Source organism: Homo sapiens, chromosome 9 (assembly GCF_000001405.40).
Source record: "Homo sapiens chromosome 9, GRCh38.p14 Primary Assembly".
In the NCBI taxonomy this organism is placed as follows: Eukaryota; Metazoa; Chordata; class Mammalia; order Primates; family Hominidae; genus Homo; species Homo sapiens.
The window spans coordinates 138067516-138088001 of NC_000009.12; the positions used below are offsets into that span (position 1 = coordinate 138067516).

Consider the following 20486-nt stretch of genomic DNA (forward strand, 5'->3'; position numbering starts at 1 on the left):
TTGTGAAGCCCCGTCTTTACTAAAAATACAAAAGTTAGCCAGGCATGATGGCGCACGCCTGTAATTCTAGCTACTTGGGAGGCTGAGGCACAAGAATCGCTTGAACCCAGGAGGTGGAGGTCACAGGGAGCCAAGATTGCGCCACTGCATTCTAGCCTGGGCAACAGAGTAAGACTCTTTCAAAACATATAAATAACCAGAACTCTGGCACTGCTGGTGGGCGTGCCAGCCAGCACAGCATCTGGGAGGGCTCAGCAGCCCCTCGAAAGTTGGACATGTGCATACAACTCAGCAACTGTACTCCTAGGCAGGTGTCCCAGAGGGTGCCTGCACAGATAACCCCCAGAGGCATTTTCACACAAGTGTTCCTGGCACCAGCGTTCTGCCGACCAAACAGAGGCATCTGAGTGCCCATCGGTAACAGAATGTGCCAGTTGTTAGGGTCTCTGCTAACGTAGTGAAAATACGCAAATGATGTGAAATTGAAACACAGCTTTGGGGGGTTTCTGTGTGTGCACCCCTTTCCAGTGACATCAGCACAGTGTGGATGCTTCTCAGAAACAGTTTTTGGTCAGAGCATAGGTGTGCGCAAGTCAAAGAAGCCTGCGGGCAGCCTGATCCCACAACAAAGGCCAGGGACAGGCAAACATAGAATGCATTTCCAGAGTTTCTGGTAAAGCTGAAAAGACAAGCCATGATTAACAAGAAGGGAAGGTAGTGGCTGCATCTGCAGAGGAGGAAGGGAGACCCGAGACGGCTTCGGAAGTGATGGTGATGTGCCGTTCGTAAAGCTGGGTGATGAATATATATAGATACTTGGTTTTACTTTTCTTTAAAATATTTATGCGTAATCTTTTATGTGATATGCTTTACGATTTAAAAAAGTTAATGATCTGAGTAATCCAAGCAAAAAAGCTGAAACCTGCCATTTAATCAGAAAAATCAGAAAAGTTGAGTCCCCCTAGCACTGGTGTTGTGTTTCCCAGTGGCTGCCTCCTCCCTGTGCGTCTCGCCCGGAAGCATTTAGTCCCAGTGCGCTTTCCGAGAGGCACAGGTGGGCTGCATTGCTGATTCCTAAGGGCCTCCTCCTTGGAAACAGAAATCTTTATTCATCAAATACAGTGATGGAAACATTGAGCTCCCAGCTGTAAGGACACAGCTTGGTGGGGAGGGGTGGTTTCTGCGTGTGTGTGCCTCCTTTCCAAGAGGGGCGGGAACTGCTGACTGCTGAGAGGGCACAAAGTGGAGGGTGCCTGGCTGACGTCAGAGATGTGCAGAGAGCCCCAGTGCCCAGCCGGGCTCTAGGGAAACCTCCCCACACCCCAAAGAGGCCCTGGTGTAGGGCAGAGGCCTTGATACAAGGCAGATTCCTGCTGCAGTGCAGGCAGCCAGACTGACCCACACTCCGTCCCTCAGCTGCGAGACAGTCGAGGCCGGGCTGTTTGTGGTCGTGTCAGACCCTGGCTCAAGCAAGCCCTCCTTGGCAGCCCCTGCCAACCCTGGACACCCAGCAGGTTGGGGGCCTGAGAGCTGCTGGTTGGAAAGCTCAGCTGTCCCCTGGCCACTCTTGCTCCTGGAGCCCAGGTCATCTCCTGTTCTGCCTGGAGGAGAAAAGATGAAGGGAAAGCCATCGTGTGGACTGGTGGTGCTTTGTTTTGTTTGTGTGTCTGTTTTTCATTTGGAGCCACTTCATATGTTTACTTTGTGAATGCACTTTTTTTTCTTAGGCAAAAATATGAGTGTCAGTTCCCATCCCCAACTTAAAAATCAAAATAGAGTTTTAGCAAGGGCACCCAGAGAGAGGGCTCCAAGCAAGCATGAAACTGACATTGATTTCTTTGCCTGGAAATAAAAATAAATAAATAAGTGTCTGTGAGTCATCTTTGGATTTGCATTACAAACAAGAATGCAAATGAATGCCACCTTGTCTGCATAACCTACAGACTTCAAAAATATGTTTTGATCTGATATATTTTAAGAAAAATAATGCAGTTTACCAAAATCCTAATTTTCTAGTTAAGTAATCAGAGTTTGAGTTTTTGCTTGTGTTGATGACTCATTTTCTCTTTTGTTTTCTGTTTTTGTTCTTGATTTACCTTAACCTACCTGCTGACTCACGCCATCCAACCAACATACAATGCGAAAACCCATGTCTCCGTCTGTATGTTGTGCACCTGCTGCTCAAACCTCCCCAATTTGTAAATAATATGCAAATATCCATCCATGAAAACATCACATGTAGGAAACGGTTGGTTTCACGACTCTGAACGGTTCTTGCAAGTCCTTGCTTTGCTCGCTCTGCTCCTCTCCTGCTCTCTGGTTCCTGGGACTCCAGCCCACTGCCCTCTAGGCGTGTGGTTGGATGCGGCTGCATCCACTCACCTCTGGCCTCCTGGACTTGCTCCCTCGGCTCTGGGCATTCAGCAGGGCTTCTGAGGGCCCTCCTGGCAGCGATTTGATTCTGGGAACTGGCCGTGGGCAGGGCTTCCCTGAGACCTGCCCAAGGAGAGGGAGGTGGGGTTTCTGGAGTGGGTAAGTGTCTAGGGTAGTTTTTCCTGTTGGGACTGGCTCAGATTTGGGGAGGCTTTGCAGGACATGAGTTTGTCCCTGATCCCTGCGAGTCCATGGTTCCTGTTGCGCAGCCATCTCCCACCTGCTGTGTCCCCATCAAGCCAATCAAGAAGGCCCCGCTTTGCCCAGGTGGCCTCTGCAGACTCCCCTGTAGCTTCCGTCCTTCCTGGACTGACCGTGCCTTGGAGTGGGCAGGGTCAGGCCTGGGGTTCAGGGCTCGGGGGCAGGGCTTACAGTCTTTGTCTTCATGATTCAGGAGGGTTCTTGTAGGGCTGAGTAGAAGAAGGGGGCTCTGCCCCTAGAGGCAGTGGAGCCGAAGCTCCCCCATTCGCATGTCACTGAATTGTGTATGTGCTCGGTCAGCAAGCTCATTTGGAGTGCAGGTCCAACCGGAGCTTCCTGCTGGGTCTTCAGGAATTTTAGAGCAAAGATATTTGGTAACTGACCCAACTTTAGCTGTGACTGTGGAAATTAATATAAAGTAGAAGATATTTGAGAGTCGTGTAAAAGTGAATGTTTGTGATACAGCGATTCACAATTGGAGCAGAAGAGCTAGCGTTTTGAGAAAATACCATTTAATGCTGCAGAAACACCCAGGCAATGTCATCTGCACGCATCCAGCTCGTGCCAGTCAGGCCTCTGCTCAGCGTCACCTCCTCAGAGAGCCCTTCCCCACATTGTCTGTCCCCTGTCCTCTTTCTCCACCACACATCCACACCTGACATGTTACTCATGCACATGCATGTCTCTTTCCCGTCTTCAATTGTCAGTCTCATTAGAATGAAAGGGAGCCACAGAGCAGTTTTTCTGCACCTGCTGGGCCTTGTCCTCTGGTGTGGTAGCTGGCCCACATCGGGGCCCACAGATCGGGGTGGGGTGCCCAGCTGACACTCGGGACAAGCCCTCACTTCCCTGTGACTCTGGCCAGAGGCCGTGGTGGTCTTGGATACAGGGGATGCTGGTCTTGGTCCAGAGTCAGTGGGTCACTGTCATGGCACGGTGTCCTGCAGTGCTAAGAGCAATTTTAAATCCCTTTTCTCAAGTACTCCTCACCTCCTGGACTGGGTGTCCCCGTGTTTCTTTGTGGATGAGAAAGCTGAGGATTGAAGGGTTAGGGACCGTTGTCCCATCAAGGTGAGTCAGCCACCATGTTGAGGGCACAATGCTGTGCCTTTGGGGTGCCACAGACCTTTTCCAACTCAGGTAGAAGTAAGGAAGGGCCTGGCCTTGAAGTAGGTGTGGCTGCAACAGAAGCCATGGACTCAGTGAGGTTGGGGCAGGCTGTGTCTGCCTCCGAGGGGCTGGCGGAGGCCAGAGGTGATGGTGCAGGTGCACGGCGTGGCGCTGCGTGTGCTTCTGTCCCTTGCTCTCCTGCATGCAGCTGGCATGGTGCTCGGCCTGCCACGCTGTGCTCGAACATCTGTGGCTGCCGTCACCGTCTGTCTTCACAGCTCTCCAGGGCGCCCGTCTCCTGCCCCCAGCCTCTCCTGAGTACCCACAGGAGCCCCGAGAGAAGCCAGGAGGAAGGGGGGAGTGTGGGTCTCCACAAAAACAGAAAGTGATGGTGGCTGAGGTTGGCATTCATGCATTAAGTAATTTGGACAAACTGTTACTCTCCACGCACCTCTCGCCTGCCCTGTTGTCTTCCAGTCCTTCCTTCTTACCTGGCAGCCTTTATTTTCCCCAGTGTCTTCAGGGAATCTTGTCTGTGCCACTGCCTGACTGTGCTTTGAGCCAGTGGGTGCTGTGTTGCCCCAGTCCCTGCCCCTCCAGACCCCCTGAGCACAAGGTTTCAGAGTGGGAGCCTCCAACCCCCGGCTCTGCTTCATCATCTTACATAAGGGTCTCTTGACACGGGACTGCGGCCCTCCACCCCTGCACCCATGTTTCTAAGATGGCTGGCTTCTCTGTGGGTCCTCGTGGCCCAGAGTTCTTGGCCATCTTGTCTACCGTGGAGATTTTCTTTCCCTGGCACAAGCAGATTACGGAGCTACAGGTACACTTGTGCTGCCCTCTGGGGTCACACCCTGAGGTCTACTGCTGCCGCCTTGCTGATTTGGATCATAGCCCGTCCTTGTGCCCACTGGCCATGGATATCATTCAAAACCAGTCCTGCTCCCACAGTTGCAGCATCCCGCCTGAGAGCCAGTACCTCGAGTTGAATCCTCAGCCACCCTGCCCCTGCCAGTGGAAGTGGCAGACCTAGGCAGAGGTGTCCTCAGTACGGGTTGGGCCACTGTCCCTGGAAGGAAGAGTGAGGCCCACCCCTCCACTGACACCTCATTCCCACCTAACGGTAGCCCTGGAGAGTCGGGATGCTCTGCCAGGCCCTCACCGCCTCTGCGCCTGCACGTGCTCCTGCTGCTGCTGTCTCATTTGACATCTGTGTTCTCTTTATTTGATGACTGAATCTGACAACACGAACGTGTCTCTGAGCCTGAGCTGCTTGCATATTTTAAAATGCTGCAGTGGCAGGAAGCTGCTCTCAGGCTGTGTGTGGGCACCTGACCTCTAGGTAGACAGAGGGCAGAAAGCCTCCTGGGTCCACAAGCACCCCCATCTGTGCACGGACACCTCCCCAGAGCCTGCTTCCCTGAAAGGGATGTGCCAGTACAGTAATTCAAGTGCCCTGGGGCCACGTGGAGGCTTTACTGCCAGGTAATCTGTGGAGTCCCAGGTTTATCCATTTATCATTGTGCTTGATTTTGAGCCCCTTGGATGAGGGAGCTCCACTAGACAGCCTGGGCTCTCTAGAGCAGAGGCCTGTTTGACCGTGAATTGCAGAGGTGGCTTCCGTGGTGTGAGCAGCAGAACACCTGTACCTTCCATAACTTGTCTGCACACGCCTGGAGCAGCCTCAGAGGAAGTGTTTGCCCCTCTGCCAGGTCCCAGCGAGGGTCCCAGGCAAGCGAGGGCTTTGCTGACTGAGCCAGGGAGGAAAGGGCATAGCCGTGAAGCCTGGGCGGGGGTCCCTTCCGGGGTGCTGGGTGGAGAAGCAGTCATGCCCAGCACGTGGCCAGCTTGACCGTGTCCTGCAAGAGGTGGTCACTGCTGGAGGCCCAGCCACAGGTGATCTCCCAGCTCACCTGGCAGCAGAGAGATGCCTGGGAGAACTTTTCTTTCTGTTGCTCACGGTTGGGGGTGGGGAGGGGCCTTAGAGCCAAGGAGGTTTTCTCTGATTTGCTGCATGAGAAGTGATTTGCAAGGACAAGCTTTACTTCTGGAAGATTTTCTGGTGGCCGATTGCTGCTTAGACTGTGAAGCAGAGACCTTTGATTTTAATCTTTTTAACCACTTTTCTTTGGGGCCACAGGGATGTGGGAAGAGGTTGTAGGGTGGCAGCAGCTTGCCTGCGCTTTCGGGGCTTCTGAAGGTCAGAGAACAATTCCTCTTCTCTGCAGAACAATTTCATCAACCTCAGCTTCCTCCGCCTCTTTCGAGCTGCGCGGCTGATCAAGCTGCTCCGCCAGGGCTACACCATCCGCATCCTGCTGTGGACCTTTGTCCAGTCCTTCAAGGTGGGCCAGGCGGGGGGCCTCCATGCTTTCTGTCCCCTTCCTCCGTCTTGCTTCCCCTGCCCCCACCACAGTGGCCCCTCCTTTGGGAGGCTGGGAGAGGGTATGGCATGCAGGTTTCGTGGTTGTATGCATTGTCCTGTTGTCATTTATAAAGACGTTTTAAGTCATCTGTAGGTTCCCTTGGTCATGCTCACAAGAACCCTGAGGTGGGTTTCATGACTCCGAGTTAGAGATAAAGAAACTGGGGCATCACTTGGTGGAGGGGCTTGGTGGCCAGTGGGATGGAGCTTGAGTAGGCTGAGGTCTGTGTGACCTCAAAGGCCCAGCCACCGTAGCAGGAGGCCTGGGCGTGGTGGCTGGGAGGTGCCTGTAGCTGACCGGCCCCTGTCTCCGCAGGCCCTGCCCTACGTGTGTCTGCTCATTGCCATGCTGTTCTTCATCTACGCCATCATCGGCATGCAGGTGGGTGCTCCCCTTTGGGACAGAGCGTGGTTCCGGCCTCCCGTGCCCTGGAGCAGAGGGGCACTGATCATGATTGTCAAATCATCGTCATAATCAGTTGATCCTTAGTGAACATTCTCTGTGAGCCAGATCCTGCTTTGAGCACTTGCTGAACTTACGTAATCCTCTTTTCTTACTCTTTTTTTTTTTTTTGAGACAGAGTCTGGCTTTGTCACCCCGGCTGGAGTGCAATGGTGTGATCTTGGCTCACTGCAACCTCTGCCTGCTAGGTTCAAGCGATTCTCCTGCTTCAGCCTCCCAAGTAGCTGGGATTATAGATGTGTGCCACCACGCCCGGCTAATTTTTGTATTTTTAGTAGAGACAGGGTTTCACCATGTTGGCCAGGCTGGTATTGAACTCCTGACCTCAAGTGATCCACCTGCCTTGGCCTCCCAAAGTGCTGGGATTACAGGTGTGAGCCACCGCGCCTGGCCTAAACTTACGTAACCCTCAGAAAGACTGTTTTGCGGAGGAGGACATGGAGGCACCACAAGATTGGGCTGCTTGCCCAGGGCCATCCTGGTGTGGGGCAGCTCTGGCCCTCGGCCCATTGCCACCTCAACAGGTGGATGCACCGTGGTGTTCTTGAGGGCTGCATGGGCTCCCGCCCAGTGATGGTAGGGTGTCGGGGCACAGGTCAGAATGGGTGCTGGCTGTGTGGTGGAGGCGCGTTGGAGCACAGCTGTGTTTGCCGAGTGGCTTGCACAGTGGCGGTCGGTTATCCTGTTAGTCTGGCAGCCGCGCTGAAGGACAGGCCTGACCCGCGGCGGGGGTTACATGCTACTGGGGAAAACTGCCTGAGAATGTGAGCAGGAGCGCATCGGATCCTTGCGCTGGGCAAACTTGGCTTGCATAATTTAGATTTTCTTTATTTTAGAAAGAACACATTGTCAGCTATTTGGGAAAAAGCATTTAAAAAAACATAAAGCAGTGTCCCAGTTATAAATCTTTGGCATCTGACCACTTTTCCAACAGCAGGGACGGAAGAGGGACCCGAGTGTTAATTTGTTATCGAAGGTGCCGGTGTTTCAAAGGTTCACGGAAAACTGATTTCTAAACTCTATTTCAGGGATTGAAGAGTTCTCTTGCTTTAAAATTTGCAGAGATCTGATGCTGTTTAAATAAATACATCTTTTTTTCCTGCTTTGGTCTGTGGATGTACAAGAGCACATACGTTACTGATCTTTGTGGATGTGTCATAGTTCATAAATTTGCAGCCAGATTCCAGATTTTGGGCTGAGTACAATTACTGACCCATTTGCATTTCTTACTGTGGAAAAGTCAGTTAAAATGGCTAAAAAGCCCGTTGTACTATTGCATATGTTTTAAGAAGACATTTTCCCATGATCTGTCAGACCTGTTACCAACATAATGCCTGCTTTGGAGTCGCTGATGATCCCACTTGAAAACACTTCCTGTGTTACGTGTGGCAGAGGCCTCACAAACTTAGCTCGGGGCCGTTCTTGTGAGTGTTTCGGACTTGCATCTGTGGACAGGTTCAGAGCTGGAGCCGGCACATGTGTAGCTACGGAGAGGGCGTCTATACTGGGAATGCACACTGGCCTCTCCCGGGTGGGAGTTCTCTGGTGTGGGGCAGTCGCCCATCTCACGTGGGGTCCTTGTACGGCTCGCACGCCCTCTCTGGCTCGGTCCACCTGGCGCGGCTCCTGCAGACCCAGCAGGGTCCGTGCCATTGCTCTTCTCCATTGCAGGTGTTTGGGAATATTGCCCTGGATGATGACACCAGCATCAACCGCCACAACAACTTCCGGACGTTTTTGCAAGCCCTGATGCTGCTGTTCAGGTGTGTTGTTCGGTCAGCCCAGGCCAATGTCTGCTCTTCCGTCGGGGGCTGCTTTACTCAGGATGAAGAAGGCTGGGTGTCAACCGTGGAGACCACCCACTTCTAATTCCCCGACCCCACTGGCTTCCCCTCAGCAGGCCTTTCTGGTTCTTCCCCTCTCTCTGCTCCTCTTTTCCAAAGGCTCTTGATATCTGCCCCAGTCTCAGAACAGGCTGAAGGGAAGCCCTGAGGGAGATCATCCTGGGAGCCCTGGGCCAGGCCGGCCTCTGCTGCCTCGTCTGTGCTCCCTGGCGACAGCTTGGGAGCCTCCGGTGAGGCTCCAGGCAGAGGTCTGGGAGGACAGAGGTGCCTAGCAGGGGCTCTCTTGAAGTGCGGGCCTCCAGCTTTCCACCTGCGCCCTTGTTGATTACAGGGATTGGTGGGATCGAGGGCAGTAGGGCAACAGGGGGAACTGACCAGCAGAGTTTGTAGCTACTCAGTGGCCCAAGGAACCCAACTGACCAGAACTGCCGATCTGAACACACCTTTATTTTCCACCATCTCTCATGGGAGCTGCCGTTCCCTGGGCTCCTGGATCCAGCCAAGCCAAGTAACAGGCAGAACCTGGAGGGGCCAAGAGGCCATGGCACAAGCTTCGGGGCCTTCTGAGATCTCCTGGTGGAGATGTGCCAGGAGAGGCCTCAGCATCAGCTGCTGTTCCTGGGCGCGGAACAGGAGCTATGGGCCATCCTGGTTTGAGAGTGAACTTGGGAGCAGAAGGGAGGTGGGTGAACATGTTTTCCTGCCTCCTGAGTCTCCCACAGTTTATCACTCACGAGCCTAGGACAGAAGGAAGGAGCTCTTTTAGGGATTTGCCATTTCAGTCCATGTGTGCAAATGCACTGGGCTGCTGTACAGCCCACCCTGCCTGCAGATGCGCGCTGGGGCGAGCTCAGACCCAGACCTGCTTTGCTGAGCTGCCTGGAGAGACCTCTTAGACTCTTGTTTCTTTGCATAACATAAGCAAGCACCCTTAGGCTGACACTGTCCCCAGATGATGTTGTTTGGCTGGGCTTTAGCTGCTGCGTTAATTTTATCTCATCATTTATTACTATTCTGCCTCATGCCGCGGAAGACTTAAGGCAAACCTATGAAGTCAGCCTTAGTTTTGAGGCCTTTGGTCTCACAGCTTTCTGTTTCTCCCTGAACTTCGTGTTCCCTGGGAACACCCTTATCAGTCAGGCCCAGCACAGGTTGAAGCAGCAGCCCTGCAGGAACCCCCCTGCCTCCGGCTGTCATCAGTGAGGAGTGGGCCCAGCTTACGCCTGGGGCTGCGCACACAGACACACGGAGGTGGGGACCCAGGCCTCTGACCCACTTGTACCCTGCAAGCCCCCGGTGCTGGCTGTGTCCAGGAACAGACTCCGTGCAGGAGCATCCAGGGTGGCTGCTCAGGGCAGGGTGCTCTTGAGGTGTTCAAGGACCAGCAGAGGCCAGGGTGCTTGGAGTGGACTGAGCTGGAACCGAGATGGGGGTGAAGTCAGGGAAAGAGTGGGCAGCAGGTCCCACAGTGCTATGGGCAGTCATGTGGATTTTGGCATTTCTGATGAGCGAGGCAAGTCATCGGAGGGTTTTGAGAGGAGGAAGAATGTGATCTGACCTGTGCTTAGTGGACCTGCTTCCTGCCGTGTAGGGCAGAGTGAGAAGATAGGCTCAGAAGCTTCCATAGCACAGGGCAGGTCATGGTCGCTTGGCCTAGGACAGTGAGGAGTGGTGAGAGCCTGGCTGTGTTTTGAAGGCAGATGATCTGATGAACAGGATATGGAGAGAGAGAGGAGGCAAAGATGACCCCCACAGTTTTGGTTGGAGCAGCTGGAAGGAGAGTCACCATTTCTGGAAATGAAGACCAAGATGGCGTGTGTCTGGGAGGAGGTCAGGAGTACAACTGGGGCCTGTGGTGTCCACAAAGAAGTGCTCGCCCTGGCGCTGGCCCCTGGTGCCGTAGATAATTTTTAGTAAGCAGTGGTTTCCCAATTAATGCTCAGTTTGGAAATCTAGTGCCAGAAGTTTCCTTTGAAGAAACAGCATCTGTGACCCAGGCCTGGCACATGTGTGAGCTGTCTGTGGGAAGGAGCCCAAAGGAGTGGGCACGCTTGGTAGCCCCACAGGGCTCGGGCTCCCTCAAGGGCCTCTGTGGGCCTCACAACTCTGCCCTTCTTCTCAGGAGCGCCACGGGGGAGGCCTGGCACGAGATCATGCTGTCCTGCCTGAGCAACCAGGCCTGTGATGAGCAGGCCAATGCCACCGAGTGTGGAAGTGACTTTGCCTACTTCTACTTCGTCTCCTTCATCTTCCTGTGCTCCTTTCTGGTGAGTCCTGGGCACTGTGCCCCTCCCAGTGCCACGTCTTGTCTCGGTACAGCTCAGGCTTCTCCCACATCTCCTGCTGATCCCTGACTCTGATCCAGGCCATGTCAGAAGCTGAGTCCATGCTGATGGCCCTTGTTTCCCCAGAGATGGCGACTTTGTTAGCCAGAGAAAGGGCCGACATGGTAACGGGCTCCTGTGGGCCCTTCCTTGACATCCGTGGAAAAGGGTTACATTTCCAGGGGCAACTGTTCCTTAACTTCCAGCTTCTAGAAGGTCATCCACTGTGGTGATGGGATGTGAAGGAACAGCATCCCAGCCAGTGTACGGGGAAAGCAGCTGGACTGGGTGGGGAGGTCGGCAGGGCAGGCCCCAGAGGTGTGGATTTTATTTCACATCCATGGAAGCCTCTGGGGGCCTCACAGCATCTGCTTGACGTTTTACAGCTTGGCTCTGGCTTCTGTGTGAGTAGTGAGGACGTGGCTGCAGAGCGAGTGAGGAGACGACTGGGGGCAACAGTGGCCTGGAGAAAGGAGAGGCAAGGGAGTGAGGTGGGATTAGGCTGCATTTTAAAAGTAGAGCTGGCACGATTGATGATGAGAGATGGGCATGCGAAGAGGAAAAAGCAGGCTGCATCCTGGGGTTTTCTGGGGCCACAGGGTGAGCAGTTCTTCTGAGATGGGAGTACTGGGGAGCTGAGATTAGTTTAGGGTTGGAGGCAGCAGAGATGCCCAGCGACCTCTGGGCTGGATGGAAACGAGTTGTCGTTAGTGTTCGGTGTGTTCGTGGGGCTGCATGCTATTTGCTGGATCCCTGTTAATGCGAAGCTTAGTGCAGTGACCTGCGTCCAAAGCAGTGCCTGAGTGCCTGTTAGACATACAGATTCCCAGGCCACTCCCGAGACTGCATCAGGGTGTCTTGGAGATGGATCCAGGAATCTGAGTTTTAACAAGCTCTCAAGGTGACTCTGTGTGTGTTGAACTTTGGTGAGCACTGACGTAGGGGAAGAACAGTGTTCAGAAGAAGGCTGAAGACTCTACCCCAAGGGCATTGAGGAGGCAGAAAGGAGCACTAGATCCAGAAACTGAGGTGGAGCAGTCCAGGAGGCAGGTGGAGAACCAGGAGTGGGCGGAGAGAGGAAGTAACCAGCCATGCACCATATTGACGGAAGGTGATGCAAGATGATGACCAAGAATTGTTAACTGGGCCGGGCGTGGTGGCTCACACCTGTAATCCCAGCACTTTGGGAAGCCCAGGCGGACAGATCACCTAAGGCCAGGAGCTCAAGACCAGCCTGGCCAACGTGGTGAAACCCCATCTCTACTAAAAATACAAAAATTAGCTAGACGTGGTGGCAGGTACCTGTAATCCCAGCCACCTGGGGAGCTGAGGCAAGAGAATCGCTTGAACCTGGGAGGTGGAGGCTGCAGTGAGCCGAGATCGCGCCATTGTACTCCAGCCTGGGCAACAGAGCCAGACTCCATCTCAAAAAAAAAAAAAAAAAAAAAAAGAGGGAGGCTGAGACAGGAGACTCGCTAGAACCCGGGAGGTGGAGGTTGCAGTGAGCCAAAATTGCGCCACTATACTCCAGCCTGGGCAACAGAGCAAGACTCTGTCTCAAAAAAAAAAAAAAAAAATGTTGTTTATTGGATGTGGAAAGGCAGAGGCCGTTAGCACCCTTGGCACATCGTTCCTCCGTCAGCGTAGTGGGAGTGAAGGCCTTGTTGCCACAAGTTTGAGAGCCGGTAAGAGGAGAGGAGCACAGCCGGGACAGAGATGCTCTTGACAGTGAGCAGCACTGAGGAAACACCTCAAGCCTGTGGCCCTGACTCCAAGGAGGAACAGCTGGCATGGCTGTGCTTTTCTCTAGCCACATTCACTCCTCAGTACAAGGGTAGAAAAGTGGATTATCCAGATTCGGGATTTCCCAGACAAGTGCAAGGAGGGAGAGAAGGGTGTGTATAAGAGTGTGGTTATTGTGCTGGACGTGGGATCAAAGCTGGGGACAGAGGAGGGTGAGGGGCAATGCCACTGGATTGGAGGTTCTCGTGAGGACATGTTTTGGGATGCAGGTATTTGAAAAAGGGAGCCGGAAAAGTAGGCGATGTGAGCAGAGTGGGATGTGTGAGGTGGAGACTCGGGAGGCAGTGAGTGATGCCATCGGTAAACATCATTGCCGTCATTACATTATCATTGCAAGATCATTACATTAACATTAGCATGATCACTGTTGATAAGCATGTTTAGTGTGATTTGTGGAACAAGGAGATGAGCTGATGGGTGAGAAGGTTCAGGAAGGGAGAGGGCAGGCAGCGGTCGTCCCATCTCTGTGGATCTTAAAAGCAACAAGAATGATAACAAGAATAGAAGTGGAGACAAAAACAGCAAGCCAGGTGCTAAGTTTTTCATGAAGGAAGGGGAAACTTAATAGATGATGTGAGCCCCAGAGAACAGGTTTTTAAAGAAGAGACCAGAGGGGACATCCATCCTCTTAGATGTTTGAGCCAGAGCAAGAACAAGTGGAGAGCACTCAGGGGAGATGGAGATATAAGGACTTGTGCTGATGGCGGACTGTGAGCTTTGCAGGGTGCAGTAGGAGGTTGAGGTGGTTGGGAATGATGTGCACTTGAGACAGGTGAGCTTACACTTAGATAGAGAAATACAGAAGAACCTACAAAACTGTGTTTCACTACTTGCTAGAAACCAAGGGAAGGATTTCCATGTTTGAGTCATCTCCTGATCCCTCCGAAGACCCCTTGTGGGCAGCAGGGAGGGTGGGCTTTTTGGAGAATCACTTTCCTGAGGCATTGGTCTCTATACTGTTCAAAGACATCTGGTGCTGTAAGAACCAGCACACCTGTGGGCACAAAGCCAAACCTACTAGCCTGACCTTACCATGCACCTGGCCGCAGAGATGGGGTTCCACAGAAAGCCACATTCATGATACCACACCACGTACAGGGCCAGCACTCACTAGACATGTCCAGGATGAGTCGAGGAATCCTTGGGTTTAGCTATCACTCCTGTGCAGAGAAGAGGGTATTTCGTGGCCACTGTCCTTTGTTCTTGTCCCCATGGACCTCAGTCATGGTTCTTGGCTAACCCTGGTGTCTCCTTACTGAAACTGTAATCCTAATCCTTCTGGCACTTCCCTCACAGATTGGACATGCTGGGCAACTCATGCTTTGAAACACTTGGATGTGGTTTGGTCTGATAGAGAAGTGACATGGAAAAAATGGGACTGTGAATTTGGGATGGGTGGCAGGACTTCGTTAGGTTGGGATTTGGTTCCATTAATTGGAATAGAGGGTGCTGATGGAAGAATAGGGAATGAGGTTGTTCATGACAGCCTGCTGATAATCACTGAGTCAGGCACTATGCAGGGTCTTATGAATACATTAAGTATTTTAGTCTCTGTGACAGTCCTGAGATTGGTATTATTATTATTACAATGAAGAAATGGAGGTCTAGAGATGTTAAATATCTTAGCCTGAGTTTAGAACCTAAGCTTTTGAAATGGACAAATTCCTAGAAAGACACAAATTATCATAACTGACTGAATTAAGTAGAAAATATGAATAGACCTGTAACGAGTAAGAAGATTGAATCAGTAATCGAAAACTTCCCAATAAAGAGAAGCCCAAAACCATATAATGGCAAAGGGACACTCTTTGCTGGGAAAACGGGACATCCACATACAAAAGAGTGGAGTTGGACTCCTACCTTATACCATATACAAAGATTAACATAAAATTAAATAACTAAATGTAAGAGCTATAACTATAAAGCTCTTAGAAGAAAACATAGTGGGTAAATCTTTATGACGTTTTACTTAGTAACAGAGTCTTAGATTTGACACCAGAATCACAATAAAAGAAAAAATAAATTTGTCTACTCAAAATTAAAAACTTTTTAGAATCAAAGGACACTATCAACAGAATGAAAAGGCAACTCAAGGAATTGGAGAAAATATTTGTAAATTACATTTCTGATAAAGGGTTAATATCAGAATTGTTGAAAGAAAATCTTTAGCCAAATTAAATTTAACAGAGTTTAATTGAGCAAAGAATGATTCGCAAGTTGTGCAGCCTCCTGAGTCTGAGTAGGCTCAGAGACTCCAACACAGCCACATGGCAGAAGAGGATTTACGGACAGAAAAAGGAATATGATGTACAGAAAATGGAAGTGAGGTACAGAAACAGTTGATTGGTTACAGCTTAGCGTTTGCCTTATTTGAACACAGAACAGTTAGCTCCCTTTGATTGGCCAAAACTTGATGATTGGCGTGATAATAGGTTACAAAGTCTGTTTACACTTCCATTTAGGTTATAGTTCACTAGGTACAGAGAAGCCTCTAGGCTGAACTTAAAATATATAAGGAGGCAGCTTTAGGCTAAACTTGATTTAACAAAATGTATAAAGAACTTCTACAACTCAACAACAAAAATAAAACAACCCAATTAAGAAATGAGAGGTAACGTCAGCAAGATGGCTGACCTTCCACCTAGTGCTTGTCCTTCTCAAAAAGACAGAACAATGAACAAAAAATTACATTTTAATGAAAATAACTGAGGGAGAGTCTCGGAGTACATCAGAGGTGTAACAGAGACACTGGTGAGCACAGAAACTTGGGATGGCCACTTAGAGAATGGAATGAAACACCAAGCAAACACCACCACCCCATCCCACAACTAGGATCAGCTGGGACCTAGGAGAGCTTTTCCCTTTGGTGAGGAGGTAAGCAAGAGGATCCCAGCAGCCCCCATCACCATCTCGGACACCTGCAGACCCTACCACTCGGGTCCCCTGCAGTCCTCAAGGCACTAAGCCTAGCTGAGGGAGCTGCCTGGGGTCCACACACCTGTGCTCCCTCCAGAGACAAAGCCAACACTGCTCAGCCCCTGTGGCCCACGTGGCTACTGTGTTCCACTACCTAGGAGTTGGAACTAGAGCGGGAGTGTGACTTGCTCCTGGAGTAGCCGCAGCTTCCCTTTATCCTTGAGGCAAAACTGCCATCAAACTAACCAAGACTGGTGGCCGACATCCCCAAGCTGAGCTGCAAGCAGCTGTTACACCCTTCCCTGAGGGGCCACGTGGAGGTGGAGCTGCTTCACCTACCCTTCCCCTCCATGCCCATAGGCCAGAGCTGAAGTGGTACCCTGCCTCCTGGGAAAACAGTACCTTGGCCACTCAGAGCGGTCACACCTCCCCAGTGTCTTAAGTTGAAGCAGTTCCCTGCATCCCAGGAAATGGTGCGTTGGCCACCCAGAGCAGTCACATCCCCCAAGCCTGAGCTGAAGTGGCACATTGTCCCCACCCCCCACCCCTGGGAATCAGTGCCCTGGATGAACTGAGGGCTGTGCATCCCAGGGCTGAACTGACATGGTACCCTGCCATCCCAGATAAATAGAGCATTGGCTCAGCTGAGACACCCAGCCCCATAGGCCAAATAGCTCTATTGCCCTGCTTTCCTGGAGCTAGACTTGCCCCCTGGAGTCTGAGCTGCTGAGACAGACCTGGGGAGTGGAGTTCCCTGCCTCCCCAGGGCTCAAATGAGAGCGGTGCTCTGCCATTCTAGGGTACTTGCTGCTGCTACACCTGTTCTCACAGAACCTGGGATACTGCCAAGCCCTACCATCCCAGGGTCTAGAGTAACCACTACATGGTGCCTTTTCCCCTGGGACCCAAGATGCCACTAACCCCTATTGGTTCAGGTTCCTGAATTGCAGCTGTATCCAACTTCTCAGGCCCAAAACTCCAGAGCACCCCTTCTTCCTGAATTGGACCAGTGCTATGCCCTGCCCCCACCCCGCCCAGGAGTAGAATCACAGCTATAATCTCGCCCCCTGGGCCTGAGCTGCTAGGGAATGGCTTAGAATCAGATCCTGGCACTGTGGGCAACGTACACCCAACTCTGCCCCAGGGAGCAAACCTGTACCCCAACACCCAGGTGCCACAATAAGTTCATGAGATTCTAAGTATAGGACACCAGCTCCACAGCCACTCTGAGCACCTGCACCTGGAACCCAGTGGTGCTGCAGCTGATTGCAGGCCATTAGACCTGATACCAAGAGGTGTCCCCTCAGCTAAGTCTTCCCATTGTGGGGAAAACAAAAATAACAGGACCCCAAAAGCCCTTGACACTGAGGACATTTACAGCCTACACTGCCACTTCTGCTGCCACAAACTTCTACACCCTGGACAACTGAAGTGCCCACAATTACTGCTAATGTTGAATGCAGCTAAAGAAGTTGTAGGGAGACTATACCACTGCACCTGGAAACAGAGTAACTATGCCCTTCCCAGCTGGCACACTAAAACCCAACTGTACTGTACAAAGTTTGGAAGAGGTGATTTGTTTTACCAGATGTACAGACATTAAGGGACACAAGACACTTGAAAAAGCAAGGAAATCACCAGGTGTGGTGGCTCACGCCTGTAATCCCAGCACTTTGGGAGGCCGAGGAGGGTGGATCATGAGGTCAGGAGATCAAGACCATCCTGGCTAACACGGTGAAACCCCGTCTCTACTAAAAATACAAAAAAATTAGCCGGGCGCGGTGGTGGGCGCCTGTAGTCCCAGCTACTCGGGAGGCTGAGGCAAGAGAATGGCATGAACCTGGGAGGCGGAGCTTGTAGTGAGCCGAGATCACGCCACTGCACTCCAGCCTGGGTGACAGAGCGAGACTCCATCTCAAAGAAAAAAAAAAAAAAGCAAGGAAATCTGACATCACCCAAGGAACATAACTCTTTAGTAGTAGACCCTAGTAAAAACTAAATTTAAAAACTGACAGAAAAGGGATTCAAAATAATGTTCTTAAAGAAGTGCAACAAGATACAAGAAAATACAGATAGACAATGCAATGAAATCAGAAATGCAATTGACAATATGAATGAAAAATTCAACAAAGAGATAGGAATCATAAAAAAAGAACCAAGCAGATATCCTGCAGCTGACAAATTGAATGAATGAAATTAAAAATAAAAACTAACAATAGAGAGCTTCAGCAGTGAGTCTGATCAAGCAGAAGAAAAAAGAAATCTCTGAACTTGAAGATAGGTCATTTGAAATTAGTAAGAGGGAAAGAAAAGAAATAATTAAAAAGAGTGAAGAAAAGCCTTCAAGAATTATGGAGCATGATTAAGCAAAAAAATATTTTATGGGTGTCTAGAAGGAAAAGAGAAGGGAAAAGGTATAGAAAATCTATTTAATAAAGTAATAGCTGGAAAATTCCCAAGTCTGGGGAGAGATGTGGACATCCAAATCCAAGAAGCTCAACAGTCCCCCAATAGATTCAACCAAAAAGGTTCTCCCCGGGACATGTTATGGTCAAACTGTCAAAAGTCAAAGAGAAGAGAAAATTCTAAAAACAGCAAGAGAAAAGCATCAAGTCACATATAACAGAATCCCCCGTTAGACTGAAAGCAGATTTCTCTGCAGAAATTTTATAGACCAGGAGAGAATGGAATGGAATGGTATATTCAGAGTGGTAAAAGGAAAACAAAAAACAAACTGTCAGTCAAGAATACTATACCCAGCAAAGCTATCCTTCAGAAATGAGGGAGAAATAAAGTCTTTCCCAGACAAGCAAGAAGTGAGGGAATTCATCACCACTAGACCAGCCTTACAAGAAATACACAAGGGAGTCCTACATCTGGAAGCAAAGACATGATAATTACTATCGTGAAAACACACAAAAATATAAAACTCGCTGGTAGAGTGAGTTTCACAAAAGAGAAAGAGAAAATAATCAAACCTTACTATTACAGAAAACCACTAAACCGTAATGATAAATAATGAGAGGAAGAAAGGAAGAAAAGATATACAAAACAACCAGAAAACAATTAACAAAATGACAGAAGTAAGTCCTACCTATAAATGATAACCTTAAATGTAAATGGATTAAATTCCCTCACTTAAAGTATATAAACTGGCTGAATAGATTTTTTAAATGACCCAACTATATACTGCCTACAAGAAGCTCACATCATCTATAAGGACACATATAGAGTGAAAGTAAAGGGATGAAAAACATACTCCACGTAAACAGAAACCAAATTGAGCAGGAGTGCTATACTTACATCAGACAAAGCAGGCTTTAAGTCAAAAACTCTGAAAAGAAGCCCAGTGTGGTGGTGCATACTTGTAGTCCCAGCAACTTGGGAGGCTGAGGTGGAAAGATTGCTTGAGTCCAGGAGTTCAAGGTGGTAGTGTGCTGTGATTACACCTGTGAGTAGCCACTACACTCCAGCCTGGGCAACATACCAAGACCCCATCTCTTTAAGAAAAAAAATTTTAGGGCAAGGAATGTCATTATATAATGATAAAGGAATCAATTCAGCAAGAAAATACAACAATTGTCAATATATATGGACCCAACAGTAGAGCACCCAGACATACAAAACAAATATTATTAGATCCAAAAAGAGAGATAGATTCCAGCACAGTGTCATTTGCGGATTTCCGTACCCTATGCTCCGCATTGAACAGATCATCTAGACAGAAAATCAACAACAAAAAACCCACATTGGCTTTAAAGTGCCTTTTAGTCCAAATGGACCTAACAGACATTTCCAGAACTTTTCATCCAACCATTGCATGGTACACATTAGCTGCTTCATCACATGGAAGATAATCTAGGAGAGATCAGATGTTAGGCCACAAAACAAGTCTCAACAAATGTAAAATAATTGAAATTGTATCAAGTATTTTTTCTAACAATAATAAAATAAAACTAGAAATCAGTAACAAGGGGAGCTTTTGAAATTGTACAAATTCATGAAAATTAACATTCTCCTGAAAGACAAATGGGCCAAGGAAGAAATTAAGAAGGCAGTTTTACAATTTGGCCTGGCACAGTAGCTCACGCCTGTAATCCCAGCACTTTGGGAGGCTGAAGCGGGCAGATCATTTGAGGTCAGGAGTTCGAGACCAGCCTGGCTAACATGGTGAAACCCTGTCTCTACTTAAAACATAAAAATTAGCGGGCATGGTGGTGGGTGCCTGTAATCCCAGGTACTCAGGAGGCTGAGGCAGGAGAATCACTTGAACCTGGGAGGCAGAGTTTGCAGTGAGCCAAGATTGCACCACTGCACTCCAGTCTGGGTGACAGAGTAAGACTCTGTCTCAAAAAAAAAAAAAAAAAAAGAAAAAGAAAAAAAAGAAAAGAGAAAAAGAAGCCTGGGCACAGTGGCTCACGCCTGTAGTCCCAGCACTTTGGGAGGCCGAGGTGGGTGGATCACGAGGTCAAGAGATCGACACCATCCTGGCCAACATGGTGAAACCCCGTCTCTACTAAAAATACAAAAATTAGCCGTGTGTGGTAGCACGCGCCTGTAGTCCCAGCTACTTGGGAGGCGGAGGCAGGAGAATTGCTTGAACCCAGGAGGCGGAGGTTGCAGTGAGCCGAGATCATACCACTGCACTCCAGCCTGGTGACAGAGTGAGACTCCGTCTCAAAAAAAAAAAAAAAAAAAAAAAAAAGACAGAAAAAGAGAAGAAAAAAATATTGAAACAATAAAAATAGAAACACATGTCATGATAACTTGAACCAGGGGCAGGGTAGGTGGAGAAGAAACATAGCATGCCAAAACTTATGGGATACAGTAAAAGCAGTATGAAATGGGAATTTTATAGCAATAAAAGCCTACATCAGAAACACACAAAGATTTCAAATAAATGACTTAATGATGCATCTCAAGGAACTAGGAATAAAACCCAAACCAGGCCGAAAATTAGTAGAGGA

General features: G+C 49.8%; 1 protein-coding gene across 2 annotated transcripts in view, besides 1 other annotated feature; it reads left to right on the top strand.

The window, feature by feature from the left end:
* Positions 1-20486, top strand: part of CACNA1B (calcium voltage-gated channel subunit alpha1 B) — a 246838-nt gene that overhangs the window by 189734 nt on the left and 36618 nt on the right. For both annotated transcript variants that reach the window (NM_000718.4, NM_001243812.2), the window contains exons 32-36: positions 2243-2248; positions 5973-6089; positions 6486-6551; positions 8304-8395; positions 10599-10743. In NM_000718.4, coding sequence (NP_000709.1) covers positions 2243-2248; positions 5973-6089; positions 6486-6551; positions 8304-8395; positions 10599-10743 — 426 coding nt within the window. The remainder of the gene's footprint in view (positions 1-2242; positions 2249-5972; positions 6090-6485; positions 6552-8303; positions 8396-10598; positions 10744-20486) is intronic.
* Positions 6167-7064: an enhancer, noted in NCBI's record as "H3K27ac-H3K4me1 hESC enhancer chr9:140968134-140969031 (GRCh37/hg19 assembly coordinates)". NCBI's record gives its function as "activates a minimal SCP1, AML or CMV promoter by ChIP-STARR-seq in naive H9 embryonic stem cells {active_cell/tissue: H9 hESC(naive)}" and the evidence as "EXISTENCE:reporter gene assay evidence [ECO:0000049][PMID:30033119]".